Consider the following 19,041-nt stretch of genomic DNA (forward strand, 5'->3'; position numbering starts at 1 on the left):
CATCTCGCCCCCCGTTCTCTGTCTCCTCTGTCTTCCATTCAGCCCATGTTTGATCTCCTGCCTGTGCTTTCTTCTGTTGGCTCAGGGTCCAGGGAGAATGGACTATTGTGTCTACAGTGGGAAGGTTGGGGAAACCCTTTGAACTGGCCTTTGGTCCGTGAGAGGCGACAGACACAGGAAGGCGGGGTGGGGGAGATCTGAGGTGTCTGGGGTGTGAGTTGAAGGCAGAGGGTGGTGATGACTCACTGGAAACTTCTCTGCCAGGTCAGGTGAAGAAGGGGGCTCTGGTCTGCAAAAAGCCTGCCTTGGAAAGGACCAGAATCTTTTTTGCTCCACTATGGCTAACATGTGTAAAATCATAATCACAGTGATAATAATAGCTCATACTTACCAAGTGCTTTCTCTGCACCACGGTCTGTGCTGGGCAAGGGCATGTTTCACTTCATCTTCCCAATAGCGATTCCCTTTTTACAGATGAGGAAATAGAGGTTCTACTACACTGTCACTTCTCCAAGTCACACGGCTGACACCACTCCGCTGTGTGACCTGGGTCATGATGGGCCACCTCTCTGCATTCTGTTTCCTCATCTGTAAAATGGAAAGGTTGAACTTACTGTATCTAGTTTTTGGTGCAAGGCACATGAGCCTTGATGTAGGTTTTCTCTGATTATGGCAGGGAGGACCTGGTAGATGGACTTAGCGTCATTGTCTGGCAGCACAGCCCTTGGGCTTCAGGGAAAATACGTGGAAGGGAGTTTTTCAGGAGGTGCCTCTCCACTGCAGGTGAGAACAGAGGATGATAGCGCAGCGGCTTGAGTGTGAGTTATAGTCCTTACTCATCATCAGTTGAATGTGGCTATTGGGGAAGAGTGTGCCTGCAAAGGCAGTGGAGTGCAGCCTCCCAAAGGAAGACAGAGCTCATGTGCAAGCCAGATGCTGTGGACCCAGGCTTGGGAGAGAGCAAAGGAGGGAGACAGAGACAAATGAGAGAGCACTGGAGAGACAGAAAGAAAAGGATGGATATAGGTAGCCATACAGAGAGGTAGTGAGGTAGGCAAGGAGGGAGAAAGGTAAACAGAGCCAGAGAGAGAGAGAAAGAGAAATGAAACAACAGAAAATCAGGCCAAGAGACAAAAGTAGCCAGAGAAAGGCAGGCAAAGAGAGACTGAGACACTGAGAGACAGTGATCAATCAACTTAGAGAAAAAGAGAGAGAGAGATGAGGGACAGGCAGAAGCAGAATAAGAGAGGAAAGGAGGAAGAGCCAGAGGGATGGAGACAAAGAGGAAGGGAGTGGAGGCTGCCCAGGGAGCTTCTCTCTGGGATTGGGCTGTGTTCTTCTGTAACTGCAGCTCTGACTGACCAAAGAGAGTAGCCAAGAAGCTAAGCCCAGCTGCCCTGGAGCGGGGCCTGGAAGTCCATCCATAAATGTGAGGGCTCCAAAGGTGTTGGTTGGATGGAGAGAGAGAAACGTATAGTTCTTTTGGTAAAACCAAAATTATCATTGTCCAGCTCAGTTTCAGGAATGAGCAAGATCTCCCAGGGAAGTCTTCTTGCTCTTTCTGTGTTTTATGGGAGCTGGAATATTGTGGGTGTTAAGCAAACACACACTCTCTCAAGTTCAGTCATAGAGGAAGGCTGGATGGCTGGATGGGAGCTATTAAACAGAGTGGCTCTCACAGCTGGAAAAATACATCATGGACCAAAGCATCACCCAACTGCATAAGTTGGGCCCCCAGTTCAAGATGGTAGAGAGAGCCCTTCTGCTCCTTTATAAAGGGGAGCCCCAAGATGGCCATGGAGCTCACTCAGATCTCCACTTAAAATTTCAAGATCATTGATGGTCAGAACCAGACAAACTTTTGGAAATGGATAATAAGAGCAGCTGTCCTTTATGGAACATTGATTAGTGGCCAGCCCTATCTAGTACTTTATAAATATTTGATTTAATCCTCAAAATGACCCTATGAGGTAGGTCCTATTATTTAACCTACTTATTTACTACTACCTAACCTGTCACTTAATGGGGGTAGCCCCATTTTGTAGATGGAAAAATTGAGCCCTCCTGACTTGCCCAGGATCACAGCTAGGAAACAGCAAAGACTTGAATCCCAGGCCTCCCACTTTTCCAGTTGTTGTTGTTCAGGTGATCATGGTGGATACTGCAGGTGCTTCCAACAGGGAAGGCCCCAGCTGTGGTCACAGTTATCCCTATGGGTTGGAGGTAAGGGACAAGGGGTCATCTGGAGGGATGCTGTCTTCTTTCTATACTATATTCTGAGAATGCAGCTGTGCCCTTCTTTCCAGGTACCCTCTTCTACTGTAGGTCACCTGCACCCCAAGAAGCTTCTTTGGGAAAGAGAAGGTGAAACAGGCAGGTGTTGCCTTGGAGGTTGAGACCTGGTGTCAGGAGTGGGACAGCTATTGATTTGTTGGCCTATAATCTCTTTATTTTCCCTTTCACTGGTGACATGTTTTCCCGTTCCCCTGAAGGACATCACCTTCTTTATTCCATGTGCTTCTGGCAGAGATATCCATCCCAGAGCCTTCCCCTGTCCTTGTACCGTGGCTCACATATGATGTTGTGTCTCTGTTAGAATGCTTTCACTTCCAAGTAACAGAATGCACAGCTAACTTAAACAATAAAGACATGTAATTGTCTCCCATAAGAACAAAATCTGGAAGCAGAGATCTCTGAAATTTGGTGAAACAGCTGAATAATATCATCAAAGACTCAGATTTTTATTATTCTACTGGTATTACTGTGTTGGAGTTTTGTCTTTAGGTTTGTTGGCTTATGGTGGCAAGAGGGCTGCAGTGGCTTTTGCATCATGAATATGTTCAAAAGCAGGGATGGAAGCATCTTTTCTTCTTGCTAACCTGGCTCTTACCAGAGAGAGACTTTCCCAGAGTATACCAGCATGCTTCCCCTTACAACTCACTGGCAGAATGGAGCCGTCTGGCTACCCTCAACTATAAGCAAAGCTGGGAAAGTTGAGTTTCCGATTTTTTCAGCCTTCAAAATAGGAAATGGGTAAAGAAGAGCAGAAATGGATACTTGGTAGATAACAAAGGGTGTTTGCCTCATAAAGACACAGCCAATCATGTCTACAAGGGTTGGTCCAAAGAGTAATCATATGGTGGAAACAGGGCCTATCAGAGTTCTCTCTGGGATTTTACACAAGGATGCTCAAAAGAGACGCACTAGGTCTTCTCAAGTCAAAGGGCTGAGCTAATATAAGCTTGGGATTCTTTGTGGCTGTGGCCCTTTCCTTTCTCCTGCTGAGTGGAGGGAGCTGGTCTTCAGTAGGAGAAAAGGAGGCCAATGCAAAGTAGAGCAGAACAAAGGATGAAGAGAGACAGATGGGGCAGGGGGAGAATGAACATATTTGAATTCCTGATTCCTCATTACTGAGAAGTGCTTTGGACTTCCTGAATTTTGCTTAAATAAATTCAAATTGGATTTTAATTATTTACAATCAAAGTTTTCTGATTGTTTCCAGGCTCATTGATAGCTTTCAGCATCCTAAGGACAGGTATCTTCTTGCTCCCAGTGGGTCATGGGACAGAAATGGGTATGTTGAACCCTTCCCCGCACTTCTGATGCCTGGAAAAGGGACTTGGCCAGAGGCTTGAATCTACAGTTAACCAAATCCAAGCCTAGGAACCACAGACAGATTGCCATAGGCTAGATGAGGGCCCCAGTGTATGTCTTCTTGGGGCAGAAAGGGATATCAGTTACCCCAATCTCGGTGACCAGGACAGTTTCAGAGTCCAGCCCAGTCCATGTTACAAAAGATAATAATAAAGCCAACGCTTAAAGAATGTCACTAAGTGCCAGTTTACATTTATTATCTTATTTAATTCTTACCATAGCCCTCCCAGACCACTTTAGCAATGAAAGATGCCATTTTGGCAATGAATAAAGTAAGGCACAGAGAGGTTTAAGAGAAATGTATATGCAACAGTAACGTAGAAACCTTTCTTCAAGTCTTCATTATTTCAAGAACTATCTTTTTTCCCTAACACTTAAAATGCTTATGTGAATTTTGTGTGTGTATATAAGTTATACATAGCGGGACATGCATACTGTTGGCCCTCTGTATCCACAGGTTCTGCATCTGCAGATTCAACTAACAGTGGATGGAAAATATTTGGGAAAAAAGGCAAGAAAAATATAATAAAAATAATACCAATAAAAAACACAGTGTAACAACTATTTACATAGCATTTACATTGTATTAGGTATTAAAAGTAATCTAGAGATGATTTAAAATATACAGGAGGATGTGCCTAAGGTAGATAGAAATACTATGCCATTTTATATAAAGGGCATGAACATCTCTGGATTTTGGCATCTGCAGGGATCTGGAACCAATCCCCTACAGATCCAGAATAACTGTATATGTATATTTTTCAGGCTTTGTACTTGGGTAATTTCAATCAATCCCTATTTTCTTAAACTAGTTGCTTCAATGTAAAACCTGAATTTTTTATTTTCACAGATAGTTATAGGTAAAAATCCAGTGGTATCTTGCTTCATGGTAGAAATGCATACTGGCAGAATTGTGTACAGAGTGGAATATTATGAAGGTATGGGGATGAAAAGATACTGGGTGGGGTTACCTTTCTTAGAGATCTTTTAAAGTAGGATTGCATTGGTTTTCTATTGCTGCAGAACAAGTTAGCACAAACGTAGTGGCTCAAACCAACACACACAAAACTATCTCCCAGTTTCTGTGGCTCAATAGTCTGGGCACAGTCTAGCTAAATCCTCTGCTTGGGCTTCAATCCAGAAGTTGCTGGAGCTGTAGTCTCATCAGAAGCTTGGCTGAGGAAAGACTCATTCCAAACTCACTGAGGTTATCAGCAGAATTTATCTTCTTATGGCCGTAGGACTGATGTCTCCATTTTCTTGCTGGCTGTCAGCAGTTAGCTGCTATCAGCTTCTAGAGGCCAACCCAGTTCTTTGCCATATGCATCCCCACCACAACAACATGACACTTTATTTCTTTAAAGCCTGCAAGGGAGTCTCCTTCTCGAATCTGCTAAGATGGAGTCTTTTATAATGAAACATAATCATTGAAGTGACATCGCCTTTCCTTTGCAACATCCTATTGGTTGAAGAAAGTCACGTCACAGGTGTGTCCTTCACTCAAGGGGAAGGAATTCTAAAAGGACATGGCTCATGGGTGGTGGGCAGGGGTCACTTTGGGTATGTGTGCCACAGGATCATTCCTCAGATGCTTCTTGGTGGAGTTTTGGCTAAGGGTAAAAGGGTGGTTTTGATGAACTTCAAGGCATTTGTGATGATTAATACTGAGGGTCAATTTGATTGGATTGAAGGACACATAGTATTAATCCTGGGTGTGTCTGTGTGGGTGTTGTCAAAAGAGATTAACATTTGAGTCAGTGGGCTGGGGAAGGCAGACTCACCTTTAATCTGATGGGCACAATTTAATCAGTTTCCAGCAAATAAAAAGCAGGCAGAAAAACATGAAAAGGAGAGATGGCCTAGCCTCCTAGCCTACATGTTTCTCCCATGCTGGATGCTTCCTGCCCTTGAACATCAGACTCCAAGTTCTTCAGTTTGGGGACTCAAACTGGCTCTCCTTGCTCCTCAACTTGCAGACAGCCTATTGTGGGACCTTAAGATCATGTAAGTTAATATTTAATAATACTTAATAAACTCTCCTTTATATGTATAAATGTATATATACACGCACATATATACATATAGTCTAAGTTAATACTTAATAAACTCCCTATAATGTAAGTTAATACTTAATAAACTCTCATTTATATATGCAAGCATATATATGCATTGCTCATGCATTTCTTTACCACTGAAGTTGTTTTACCTTGTAACATGATGATTGGGTCTATATATATGCAAACATATTATATATATATGGGAGTTTATATATGTCCTATTAGTTCTGTCCCCCTAAGAGAACCCTGACAAATACAGATTTTGGTACCAGGAGTGGTTCTAGAGGAACAGAATATTAAGGATGGAGTTCTTTTGTTGGTTTTGGGGTTTCTGGAATTAGCTGCTTAATATGATCAGACCCAAATGCTAAGGACTCTACTTCTAACACTGTGGAGAACACTCCTTGTCCTTAGAGTGAACTGTTTAGAGAGTTATGCAAAATAAATGCATTTGACACTCCTGATTCACTGCTTATGAGAGGCAAGGCGTTTAGTGACTCTATACATAATACCTTTGACCACATGTGGAGAACCAAGGAACATAATGAAGCTGGTTAGTTGCTCCTAGGTTCAGTGGACAAAGTGATGAAAGAAAATGATGAGCCCAGGGATTCTGTCTCCTGGCTTCAAAAGCAGACACTGAGCCTCAAATCTGCCAAGACTGCCCTGAGTGAGAGTCTTATCTCCTGTAGAGAAAGAGCTGAAATTGTAAAAAAAAAACAAAAAACAAAAAACAGACACAAGCTCTTATCCTGCAGTGGCTGAGCTGCAAGGGAAGATGCATGCACAGCCTCACCAGGTGCCTACCGTTAAAGTGAGGGCATTGATTGGAAAAGAATGGGGCCCTGCAACTTGGAATGGGGACATGTGGGAGGAGCCTGATGAAGCTGGGGACACTGAGTTTGTAAACTCTGATGAATATTTTTTGCCAGAAGGAACAGCTTCCCCATCCCCAGTAGTGACAACATCCCCTCCCCGACCCATGCTGCCATCAGCCTTTTTACTTTTATCTGAGGAGATAAACCCTGCACTGCCCGAGGCAACAGTGATGGCCTCCCCTGAGGCAGTTGCCAGGCAAGAAAATGTTGATTCTCCTCAGAAGCCACCCCCAACACCTCTGTTTGCTTCTAGACCTGTAACTAGACTAAAGTCCTGGCAGGCCCCTAGAGTTGAGGTTGAGAATGTGACCCATGAGGAGGTGCACTACACTCAAAAAGAACTGTCTGAGTTCTCTAATTTATATAAACAGCAATCTGGAGAACAGGCATGGTAGTGGATATTAAGGGTATGGGATAATGGTGGAAGGAACATAGAGTTGGATCAGGCTGAATTTATTGATTCAGGCCCACTAGGTAGGGACTCTGCATTTAATGTTGCAGCTTGGGAAGTTCAAAAAGGTTCTAATTGTCTATTTGCTTGATTAACTGAACTATGGATTAAAAGATGGCCCACTGTGAGTGAGCTGGAAATGCCTGATCTCCCTTAGCTTAATGTAGAGGAGGGGATCCAAAGGCTTGGGGAGATGGGGATGGTGGAGTGGATTAGTCACTTTTGACCTACTCATCCCAGCTGGGAAGGTCCAGAAGATATAGTCTTGACCAATGCCTTGTGAAATAGATTTGTCAGGGGAGCACCTGCATCTTTGAAGAGCTGAAGAGTGCTGACTAAGACAGCACTCATGCATGTCAGTAGTCCAGCTGGCATGCCATTCAGCATTTTGGTGCTCTGGGTTGATCATAACCATGTGAATAAGGAACTACAGCTCTCTGGTTGAATTCCTTGATACTGAGCCTGGTTTGCAAACCCCTGATTGGCTGGCATTTCCTTCTCCTGCTGGGAGACCTTCTCTTGTAGTTCTAGAGATTGGCTGGGACTAAGAGAATGATGACAAATGTCTAGGCCTGGGTGGGGAGCCCTGAAGCCTGGACATTCCTCATAATTGGATGTCCCAGTGGTTTTCCTACATCTCTGGCTTTTTAAGTTCCCCCCAAACCTTCTCAAGAAGGAGCTGCTCATCAGGTGTATTAGTCTGTTCTTGCATATATATATATATAGAAATATATAAAGAAATACCTGAGACTGGGTAATTTATAAGAAAAGAGGTTGCATTGGCTCATGGTTCTGTAGGCTGTGCAGGAAGCATGGCAGCATTTGCTTCTGGAGAGGCCTCAGGGAGCTTTTACTCATAGTGGGAGGCCAAGCGGAAGCAGGTGTCTTACATGGTAGGAGCAGTACCGAGAGAGTGGGGAGAGGTGCCACATGTTTTAAACAATGAGATCTCATGAAAATTCACTATCACAAGGACAGTACCAAGAGGGGATGGTGCAAAACTATTCATGAGAGACCACCCCTGATCCAATCAGCTCCCACCAGGCCCCACCTCCAACACTGGGGATAACAATTTGACATGAGATTTGGGCGGGGACACAGATACAAACCATATCATCAGGTAACTGCCAAGCATGGGAGGAGGAAGACCTAGAAGGATAGGGCAGATTCTGACTTACGGGCTGCAATTTTGCAGCATCCTCTTTCTCTGGGTCCCACCTGCTTCTGTAGCCCTGCCCTCTGGCTCTGCACAGTGGCACAGCCCCTACTCTTAGCATTTTCCTGCATCATCCACCAGCCTGGTCTTGTCTGGTCGCTTGTTCCTGAGTCTGCTCATTCATTCATTGACTCATTCAGTGCATATTTACTAAGCTTGGGATGAGCCAGGCACAGGCTAAGTACAGGCATACAAATACTGTGAACAAAATGAAAAAGGGGACAAAGTCCATGCATCCTTGGAGCTTGGAGCAAGAGACATATGAACTAATATGAACAAATAAATGTATAAAAAATGTCAGGTAGTGAGAAGTGCAATGAAGAAAATAACACAAGATAAGGCTTTCAAGAACAAGGCTGCTGTATTATACAGGAGGCCTGGGGAGGCCTTTGGTAAAATAGCAGCTGATTGCAGCCCTATGGGTCTCTGGGACAGGCAAGCATTCCGGGGCGAGAAACCCCAAGGCAGAAGCGTGCTTGGCGCATTTGAAGAAAAGCAAGAGGCACTGTGGCTGGAAAGAGAGTGGTCAGGGCATCTCTGAGAAGGAGCTATTTAAGCCAAGAATCAGCAAGAAAAAAAGTCAGGTCTTCAAAGTCAAGGAAAGAAGGAGCGTTTATATGAGATAGATTTGTAAAGCATGGTGGCTGGCACATAGAAAGTGCTCCGTCAATGGGGACTGTGACTTCTATTGGATTTCCGATCCGGGAGGTGGTGAACAAGGAAGCCTCAAGGTCAAAGGCTGTTGATCACCACAGCTGTTACCAAGTGGTTTAGGGAAACTGCCTGAGCCTGAGAGCAAGGCAAGCCTGTGTTAATTTCTGTTATTGAGTCATTGCCCTTGTTGCTATGTGGAGAGGGCTAGAATGTTTTTATGCTGGGCTCCGCGGGGAAGAGGGTGGTGATTTCTGTGGCTGGTGGTTGGATGTTCCCCGATCGCCTTTATGTCTCCCTCCTTCCCTCTCAGTCCTTTTCTTCACCCAACAAAAGACTTCAGAGGCCAGGAGGAGAGGGACTCACAGCAATTATATTAACACCAGGCGTGGGTAGTTTGTAGAGTGCTTTCACGTTTCATCTACTTCATCATCAGAACAGCTCTCTAAGGGAGAGGAGGGGGAATCTATGATCCTGTCAATTTCACAGCTGAGAAACTGAGTCCCAGAGAAGTTATTGAGGAATTTACGAAGTTCTGGGATGTCAGGAGGGTTTACTGTCCTAGTTGAAGAGCCCAGGAAGACCTCATCTTTTTGCTCTTTGTGTGCGTTGAGGAAGGAGCGCATGAGTGAGGGTAGATGGCTCTGACAGGGAGACACTGGAAAGGTCAACGCAGTAGTTAACCAGGCCATGCTAAGCACATCCTGGGGCCAACCCACTTGCCTGCCAGAAAAGGCCACATGTCTCCACAGTATGACAAGGACATTCCTCTCTACAGGTTATGCCAACCTCAAGACAGAGAAGAAACCAAGTGGGATTATGAGCTGACACAATGAGACACAGGCTTATAAACCTGCTCCTTGTGGTCCCCTGGAAGGCTGCGTTCATCAGAGTCTCTCTTCTCTAATGTTTTTCTCCACTAGTCCCCTGGACATCAATCAACTTGGCTCTGTCAAGCGTCTCAGCCTCCTGCATGACCACTTGCCTTTCCTTCTCCTCTCTCCTGCCCTTCCTAGGGGCTTCACAGGGACAGGAAGCCAATCCTCTTGCTCATTTCTTTCTTCCTTCTTGCATCCATCCATCCATTTGTCTGTCCATCCATCCATCCATCCATCCATCCATCCATCCATCTATCCGTCCATCCTTAGAGTTATTACTATGTGCTAGGGGTTATGAGGATGGATGAGGGGTGGGCTCTACCCTGCCAGACCCTGGTTTCTGTGATCTCTCAGGCTGCATGGATAGAGGGGAAAGCATGAAGAAAGGGTTGGCAGCCATTGTGATGGTGATGCTCTGAGGAGGGGCTTGGGATGCTCCACCTGAGACTCAGTCTTTCCAGGAACAACTAGAATTGGAAAGGCAGGAACCTGCTTCCAATGGCCATGGGGAGATAGATGCCTAAGAACCTTCTGGATCTGATGTGATGCCATGGGCTTTTCTCATGAGTTGACAACCTTTTCTCTCAGGGAGAGGAGTTGGACTTCTTATAGAAGCCACAATGCCTTACAAAAGGTAGAAGCTGATCTTTAGATATGTCTTCTATTCAGACTTTTCTCTCAACAGCTCTCCACCTCTATCCATCCTCAGAGTAGCCCTTGTGAAGCACAAATCTGATCGTATCCCTCCCCTGCTCAACAACCGTCTATGGCTCTCCAGTGCCTTTGGGAAAAAGCCCAAGCTTCTTTGCCTTGTCCCTTGGTGTCTTTTCAGTTTCACCTTCAACTGCATTCTTCCCAGAACTCAGTGTTCCAGTTTATGACCATGGGTTCTCAGGCCCCCAGGCCTTCTCTCAACTCTATTTCCTCTGTAAGTTGTGTGCTGGTAAACTGACAATCCAGAAAAAATAAAGACTAAAGAATCCCTGAGTTGTAGCATACGTCAATTTCTGTGGTGTGGGCCAATTTCAATCTACTGACATGACATCATTGAACGCAAAGCTGGGTGGGAAGAAACTCAAAGGATTTGTCCTTGTAAGCCCTTCCCCTTACTCCAGTGGAGGCAGTACAGTGTCCAAGTTAAGAGTGCTGTACTCCCCGTTCCCTGCTTTCAGCGGTGTGACTTCAGGCAAGCTACTTAAACTCTCCCTGCCTCAGTTTTCCCTTTTCTAAAATGGGGAGAGGGATCTCATATTGTTCCTAGGATCATTATAAGAAGGAAATGAGAGGATGCATTACAGTGCTTAGCACTATGCCTGGCTCATGATAAATGCTTAATAAATGTCAACCATCACCATCTGCCAGTGAAACACTTCCACATCTTGTATCCTCAGCTCAAACCACCTCCTCCCCAGAGCCTTCTGTGATTTCTTCATTGAACTAAATTACTCCCTCCTCTCCCTTAGAGAGCTTTTCTGGTGATGAAGTAGGAGATGAGAAGTGAAAGTACTTTACAAACTACCCATGCCGGGTGTCAACTAAATGTATGCATTGCTCATGCATTTCTTTACCACTGAAGTTGTTTTACCTTGTAACATGATGATTGGGTCTAAAGCCCCAAGGCTGTCCTGGGCCTGATTCTGCTGTATCCTCAGCATTTTGTAAAGAACACAGTGGGTGCTCAAATCCATCTTTAGGGGTGATCAGTGAGCTTGTGCATGAGACACAATGTGTAAGGGACTGGGGAAGGAAAGGAGGCAGAGATATGGATGGGTGTGCAGGGGGGAGCTAGTGGCATCACTTGGATGATCCAGTGTGTGTACATGACAAGGCACATCTGGCGAGGTGCGCCTACCTAGAGAGCCAGGTGGCCCTCATCCCTCAGAGCTGAAAAGGCCACAGCCCTTCCAGCTTGGGGAATGGCCTTAGCAGCTGGCTCCCAGGGAGGGGCTCATCTGTGACAGCAAAGCCAGCAGCCTGGCTATTAGAGAGCAGCCAGCATGGGGCTGCAACCCAATGGAAAAATAAATCCCCATCATGCCAGACATGCTTGCTTCCAGACTGGGGGAGTTAATAAAGTGACTCTGAGGTGGTTTGGAGCCACTGTGGAGGGGCTGCGGAGGAATTTTCTCATTTCTCGTAAAACTTTAATTAGTGTTAGTCACTTCAAGTGATTACGGGGACTTAAAATAGCCACCGGCTGGGAGCTTTAATGACACATACGAGGCCATTTTGTTTGTTTCTACAGGGAGCTGAGCTGGGCTTGTAATAGACACACATTTGTCTCCTCGCTGGACCGTGAGCAACTGGGAGCTCTGTGAAGGCAGGGACAAGTAGAGCTTGTCTGTGTGTCCCCATGATTGGCACAGAGCCTGAGACATCAGAGAGGCACCACAAGCCTAAATGGACTGCCACTCACTGGCTAAGGGGACCTGTCAGCTCCAACCCAGTCCCTGGTTTATTGCATTCTCTAGAACTTCTTCCCCAAGTGTTTACTTTTAATCTGTTTTTTCCCACTAGAATATTAGTGTTCTGCTCACTGCTGTATTCCCAGTGCCCAGATGTAGTAGGAGCTGAATGGAAGGATGGATGAGATGGGACACCATCTTCCAAAAGTGCCACTGGGAGTCCCAGGAGGGCACCTGTATTGCTGCCACCCGTGGACCTGCCTTCCAGATGGCCGAGACCTGCTTCCAACCAATTTAGTTTTGTTTGTTCCACAAATTCCTCTGCAGGCACAGCCATGCTTCCCTCCTCCCCCTGCCCATAACACCCTGAGAAACATCCTCTGAGAAAAGGATCCCAGAGTAGTCACTGATGCTGTAGTATGAATTTCAGGAAGTGTCTTGCCTCTCTAGGTTGTCTCTAAGTCTCCACTCTTATCATGGGAGGACAGGCTTTGCTGTCTTTGTGAATTGATCTTGGATGTCAAAAAGGGAGGAGGAGGGTTTAGTCCCAGCTCTCCCTGAGGGGGGTTTAGTATGTAATGGTGAAGATCATAGGTTTGGAGTCAGGCTGTCCGGGTTCAAATCCTGGCTCTGCTGTTTCCTAGCTTTCTCTCTCCCCTCCCTCTTTTCTTTTTTGAGACACTTGCCCATGCTGGAGTGTGGTAGCATGATCTTGGCTTACTGCAGCCTTGGCCTCCTCGGACTCAGGTGATTCTCCTGCCTCAGCATCCTGAGTATATGGGACCACAGGTGTGTGTCACCACACCCAGCTAATTTTTTTGTCGTTTTTGTAGAGACAGTGTTTCACCATGTTGCCCAGGCTGGTCTCAAACTCCTGGGCTCAAGCGATTCACCCACCTTGGCCTCCCAAAGTGCTAGGATTACAGGTGTGAGCCACTGTGCCTGGTCCCTAGCTTTCTCTCTTTCTTTTTTCTTTTCATGTCTTTTGTGAGACAAGGTCTTGCTCTGTTGCCCAGGCTGGAGTGCAGTAGTGTGATTGAGGCTCACTGTAGCCTTGACCTCCTGGACTCAAGGGATCCCCCTGCCTCAGTCTCCTAAGTAGCTGGGGCTATAGGCACACAGCACCACACTTGGCTAAATTTTAGTTTTTTGTTTGTAGAAACTGGGTCTTGCTATGTTGCCCAAGCTGGTCTTGAATTCCTGGGCTCAAGTGATCTTCCTGCCTTAGCTTCCTAAAGTGTTGGGATTACAGGTGTGAACCATTGTGCCAGGCTCTGCTTCCTAGCTTTCTAATCTCAGTTTTCTTATCTGAAAAAGGGGCACGTCAGTAGGATGTGTATTTCACTGAGGTGTTGTGATTACGTAGTGGATATTCAGTAAACGTCAACCACTGCAATTTTTGGCTGGGCATGTCTTTGGAACCTCGGGTGTGTCCCTCTCCTTCTCTGAGCCTCAGTTTCACCTCAGGAGGCACAGGCAGGCTGTGAACTCTCACTAGCCCGAGTTCATTTCCCATGCCTGCCACTTTCAACTGTGTGACGGTGGGCAAAACACTGACCTTCTCCGATCTCTGTTTCCTCATCCACACAATGGGGACTATAAATCTTTTCATTCATGACACAACACAGGGAAAGTCTCAGCACCTGACATGGAGTCAGGTCCATGCTGGTCATATTGATTGTTTCCCTGTCTCTGAGTGAAGACGGTGGCCCGGCCTGTCTCTCAGGCCCGTCCTTCCCCTCCTATTTGCTTGGGCCACTGGGCTCTGAATCCCCTGCTCCCCACAGGCATGGCATCCTCTGTCCACCTTCCAGACCCTGAGTGATGAGCGCCATCATGGTCACTTCAGGCAAAGTTTAAGCAAGAAGCAAGCCCTGTACTGACTGAACACCCACCCCTGCTTTCTCACCTGCTCAGTGCCCTCATGCCTTTACAAATCCTCCCTTTTCCCAAAGCAGGCCATTCTTAGAGGATCAGCTCTGTGTGTGGGAGTGGAGTGGGGAAAGTTCAGGGGAGTCGCTGCCTGGGGAAATGGGGATAGGGCTACTGGGAGAACCCACTAACAGCACATCCAGCAGCTGGGGAAACAGAAACAGAATGTGCAGCAACCCTTCGTGGCTCCCCTGTCTGCACTAGAATCATGTCCAAATGCTTTACCAGCAAGGTCACCCCCTCCCCCCGCCTCACTCACCATGCTTCTGCCACGCCAGGCTTCCGGTTCATCACTCGGTCTTGCTCGTTCTCGTTCTTACCTCATGGCCTTTGCGTGTTCAGTTCCATCAGTCTGGGACACCCTTCCTTCTCTCCATCTGGTCAATATCTACTCACCTTTTAGTCTTCTTCTTAAATGTAACTTTCTTGGGGAGGGCATGTCTGACCACCCTCAAGTACTTTAGGGCCCCTCTGTTAGACACAGCCACCATGTCTTCTAAGATATTGTCATAGCCTTCATCAGAAATACCTGCAATCAGTCAGTTCATCGACTGTGTTGTGAGTTAATCAGTCAGTTCATCAATTGTATAATGACTGCTTGCATTAGGCTCTGAACTCTATAATGGCAAGCGTAGAGTCTGCCTTGTTCACCAGGTAGGTGTCTGCTTTTGTTACTAGGTAAGGTTGTTTGAAAGGAACATAATACATGTATTCATTCAACAAACATTTGTTGGGCACCTACTACATATCAGGTATGTGGTATTCTTTACTCCCTGCCCTCAGGGAGCTGGAGCCAAGGGATCAAGACTGACATGGAGAGACAAAGTTGGAAAAGTACTGCACTGGGGGAATGTTCTAAGCGTTATAGGATGATAGTGGAAGGGATCACAACCCAGTATGGGGTTTGGAGTGCGGATAAAGTGAAGGCTGGGAGGGCTTCACAGGGGCAGGCAAATCAGAGTTGGGTCTTTACAGATGCATAGGAGTTGAAAGGGCATTCCCGACATGTATACAGCATGTGCAAAAGCCCCGAGGCACCCCGGAGCAAGGTGTGTTTGGGCATAGAAAGCATTTGGTTTGGTTGGAACTTAGGGCATGTTGAGTGGGTTGCCGGGAGAGGAGGCAGGAGAGCGAGCAGTAGCCAGAGTTTGGGTTTCATCCTCCAGGCCAGTGATTCTCAAGCCAGGACAATCTGCCCTTTCCTTACCTATCCTGGGCACACTTGGCCATGGCTGGAGACATTTTTGATTTTCATACCTGGTATGGAAGAGAAGGGAATGGTACTACTGGCATCTAGTAGGTAGAGGGCAAGAGAGGTGACTAAACATCCTGGAATTCACAAGAAGGCACCCACAACAAAGCAACATCCAGCCCAAAATGTGAATAGAGCGGAGGTTGAGAAACCCTGCCCCAGGCCATCCGGTTCTGTTAGCGTGACGTAGGAAAGCTTAAAAGTTGTTATTTTCAACATAATAGTGACAAGAGTTCTTCTTTATAAGATACATTTCTACCTTTTTGTTCCAACAATACAGGCCTTGGGGGTAGAGGACATGAAGGGAAAAATATAAAAATGTATTTATTACCATTGAACCATACACTAAACATGATAAAAATGGTAAATTATATTAAAAAGTTAAAGAAAAATACAGACCTCAACCCCACCTGGGCACCAAGGTGCTGGCTTGGTGGGTGGGGCTTGGTGGGTGGGGCTTGGTGGGTGGGTGAGAATTTAAGGGCATTCAAGTCAGCAATGACACCCTAGGGTGCACCCCAGGGCCCCATTTAACCCCTTCTTCTCCTGCCAACAGGTGGCTTTGGCCCACTTTCTTTGAACTGCTTGCTGTCTGGCTCAGCAGGAGCTAGATGGGGACACTCATGTGGTCAGGACATGGGCTATGGGGTATATACTCCACCCCACCCCAGCAGGTGAGATGGAGGGTTCTTGGGCTCTAGAGCCAGACACACAGGTTCAAATCCCAGCTCAGCTTGTTACACTCTGTGAGAACATTGGCAAATTATTGAATCTGTCTTTGCCTCAATTTCCCCACCTGGGAATCATCCCTACTTGGCAAGACTGTTATAAAAGTGAAATAAGTTGATGAAGAGAGTGGTGGTTAAGGCCTGGGATGGTGGTTCACGCCTGTAATCCTAGCACTTTAGGAGGCTGGGGCAGGAGGATGCCTACAGCCCAGGAGTTTGAGGCTGCAGTAAGCTATGATTGCTCCACTGCACTCCAGCCTGGGCGATACAGGAATACTGTCTTTAAAAAAGGCAGAGAATGAGAATGGTGGTGAAGATCCTGGCCATGAATGGTGTAATCTACATGTGAGTCCCGGCTCTGCCACTCACTCACTGTGACTTTAGACAAATCACCTAACATCCTGGATGTCCTCATTTGTAAAGTGGGTGATATCGTGGTACCTGTCTCAGTGTGTTGTTCTGAGGATCCACTGAGACAATGCACCTGAAAGAGCCCAGCTGGTGCCAGCGAGCACTCAGCACATGCTGTTTGTCACCACCAACACCGCATGGGTAAATGATCCCTCCATTATGATCCCAGATCCTAGCTCGAAGCCCGGAACATGGTAGGTGCTGGGGAGCCATGTGAATTCCTTCCATCCTTGCCCGCTTCACCCCTGCTGAGACCTTTCTGTTTGTGCAGCCTGCCTCGCACCCCTGTCCACCTGGGACTCTAGGGAGAGGGCAGCCACCCTCGGTCAGGGCAGGGCCTGGAGCAAGACGGGTCTCCAGCTTTCAATCTCTGCAGCTCCCCCTTCCCTTCCTCAACCCATTCCATCCCTATTCACTTCCTGACTGCCCTGGCTCTTCCTCTTCCCTTTTGAAATCTCTGCCTCTGTCCCAGTTCCTCTCGCTATTACACAAAGGCCTCTTGGATTCCAGACTCAGCCCCAGAGGGCAGCTCAGTAATTCAATTATAGTGAGGGGGCTTACTCCTCTTTTCTTCCCCTTCTCCTCACCCCTCCTTTTTTCCTTCCTTACTTTTTTTTTCTTTTTTAGATCAAAAAAGAAAAGAGAGACATTGTGACCCCCAGAAGATGCAGTGACTGAAAGTTCCCTTCTCGGCTCCCAGCCTGTCTAATGAAATACCAAGAATTTCGTCTCCTCAGAACACGTGTGTGTGGCATCGGATATGTGTTCTTTGTTTGAGGCGTCTTTCTTCTGCCTCTCATCTGATGCTTGGGATCCGTATAAGTTTCCTACTGGAGACACGATGGCTGCCCCCTCTGTCTGTCCAGCCTGGCTTTGGGCAGCTTTCGCTTGAACCTAGAAAGAGAGTCTGTCTCCAATAAGGCCTTGTTCGCTTTCTGAGCTTCACATTTATTCTTTGCAGATTTCACACATGTGAAATCTGTGGATGGGTTGTTGCCGGGAAGACAGCAGAACACAAGGCTGGGGAAAGGGCTGTGGTCAGGGGCTGGAGCCTGGGCTCCGTCCTCGGGCTGAGCCCTCTGTCGGTTTGAGGGTGGCAGGTCACTGCCCCTGGCTGGGTCCTGCTTGCCCGTAGACTACGGTTCGGCTTTCGGATGTGGATTTAGTGTCCACCAGGTGTCTGACTCCACGCTGGGGCCTGTGGACAGACATAACAAAACTGTACCCTGGACCTTCAGGAGCTTGGAGAAAGCGGTCTTGGAGGGCTTTCTGGCCTTGATTTGCTAAAAGCAGCCAAGGAAGTTTCAAGAAAAGACTTCCGAGCTAATTTAGCCAAGGACTAATGGGAAACCAGGTAGCAGCGGTAGATTTTCTGTTGCTTTTTTAGCGACTTTTTTTTTCTTCATACCAAAAAGAATCTTTGAGGTAAAAAGACTCCCAGTATTCAACTGTCCCAATGCCTTTCCAGTGCGCGAAGTTCTTCAAAAACGTGGAGCCCAAATGCTCTCCTCACCTTGCCCTGGAGAGGACCCTTCCCTAGGGGGCAGCATAGAGCACCGTGAGGCAGCTCTGCCTCTCCCTAATCCCACCTCACTCTTCCTCTTTCTGCCCTCCAACGGCCTCACACAAGAGTCTAATCTCTGCTCCCCAAGACAGGTATGGAAATACGGGGACCACGTTTCCTCCAACCCTCCTTTTTTCCAGCCTAAATTTCCCTGTCACCTCCCATGTCTGATTGCTGCACTCAAGACCCCCAGGGGGTCAAGAATGATGGAAAGAGAAAAATGACAGGTCAATGGGCATAGAGTGACAATGGGAAGCAGGAATGGACCCACTGGTAGTTTACAGATCAAGAATGTCGATGGCACAGACTAGGAAACCTAGTGGAAGCCCTTCCCCAATATGGCGATGGCAGAGAAGAAAGGCTTCTGTTTACAGTTGGGAGGGAGGTCCAGAGGACGAGGGCGCTCTGCCTTTCTCTACCTCTGTGCTTTTGCTCAACCTTTTTTTTTCTTCTTGGAATGCCCTGTCTCGCCAAAGCTCTGCATATTCAGACCCTGCCCGTCTTTCACTGTTCAGCTGAAATGGTGCCTCCTCCAGGAAGCCACCCCTGATCTCCCAGCTGGGAGTTGCTTTTCCCTCCTTCAAACTCTCATTGCATTTTGCCTGGACTGCTCATGAGACATGTAAAACTTTCCTGCCCTGTGTTTTAGTAGGTTTGTACAGAAACACTGGGTTGCAAACTACTGGAATGGTGTTGATTATGTCTTATTCATTTGTAAATCCTCCATAGCAATGAGCACATGGCTCAACTGCTATTTATGGAATGAATAAGCGAGAGACATACAACAGGAACTAGGCTGTGTGATGGGTACTTTATGTGTATTGTCACACAACCTTAAAAGGTGTGGACTCTGTTTAATCACTTTGTGGATGAGGAAGCCAAATCCCAGAGAGATTCTACAATCTTCCCAAGGTTGCAAAACTGATGTCTTTTTTTTTTTTTTTTGAGATGGAGTTTTGTTCTT

At 46.7% G+C, this 19,041-nt stretch overlaps 3 annotated features.

The window, feature by feature from the left end:
- Nucleotides 336-585: an enhancer, noted in NCBI's record as "active region_4653". NCBI's record gives its function as "activates an Ori minimal core promoter by ATAC-STARR-seq in GM12878 lymphoblastoid cells {active_cell/tissue: GM12878}" and the evidence as "EXISTENCE:reporter gene assay evidence [ECO:0000049][PMID:35858748]".
- Nucleotides 4,588-5,787: an enhancer, noted in NCBI's record as "CDK7 strongly-dependent group 2 enhancer chr11:44435693-44436892 (GRCh37/hg19 assembly coordinates)". NCBI's record gives its function as "activates an origin of replication core promoter dependent on BRD2, BRD4, P300/CBP, MED14 and CDK7 cofactors, with strong dependence on CDK7, by STARR-seq in HCT116 cells {active_cell/tissue: HCT116}" and the evidence as "EXISTENCE:reporter gene assay evidence [ECO:0000049][PMID:35650434]".
- Nucleotides 17,196-18,126: an enhancer, noted in NCBI's record as "H3K4me1 hESC enhancer chr11:44448301-44449231 (GRCh37/hg19 assembly coordinates)". NCBI's record gives its function as "activates a minimal SCP1, AML or CMV promoter by ChIP-STARR-seq in naive H9 embryonic stem cells {active_cell/tissue: H9 hESC(naive)}" and the evidence as "EXISTENCE:reporter gene assay evidence [ECO:0000049][PMID:30033119]".

This window comes from Homo sapiens, chromosome 11, assembly GCF_000001405.40.
Source record: "Homo sapiens chromosome 11, GRCh38.p14 Primary Assembly".
Lineage (NCBI taxonomy): Eukaryota > Metazoa > Chordata > Mammalia > Primates > Hominidae > Homo > Homo sapiens.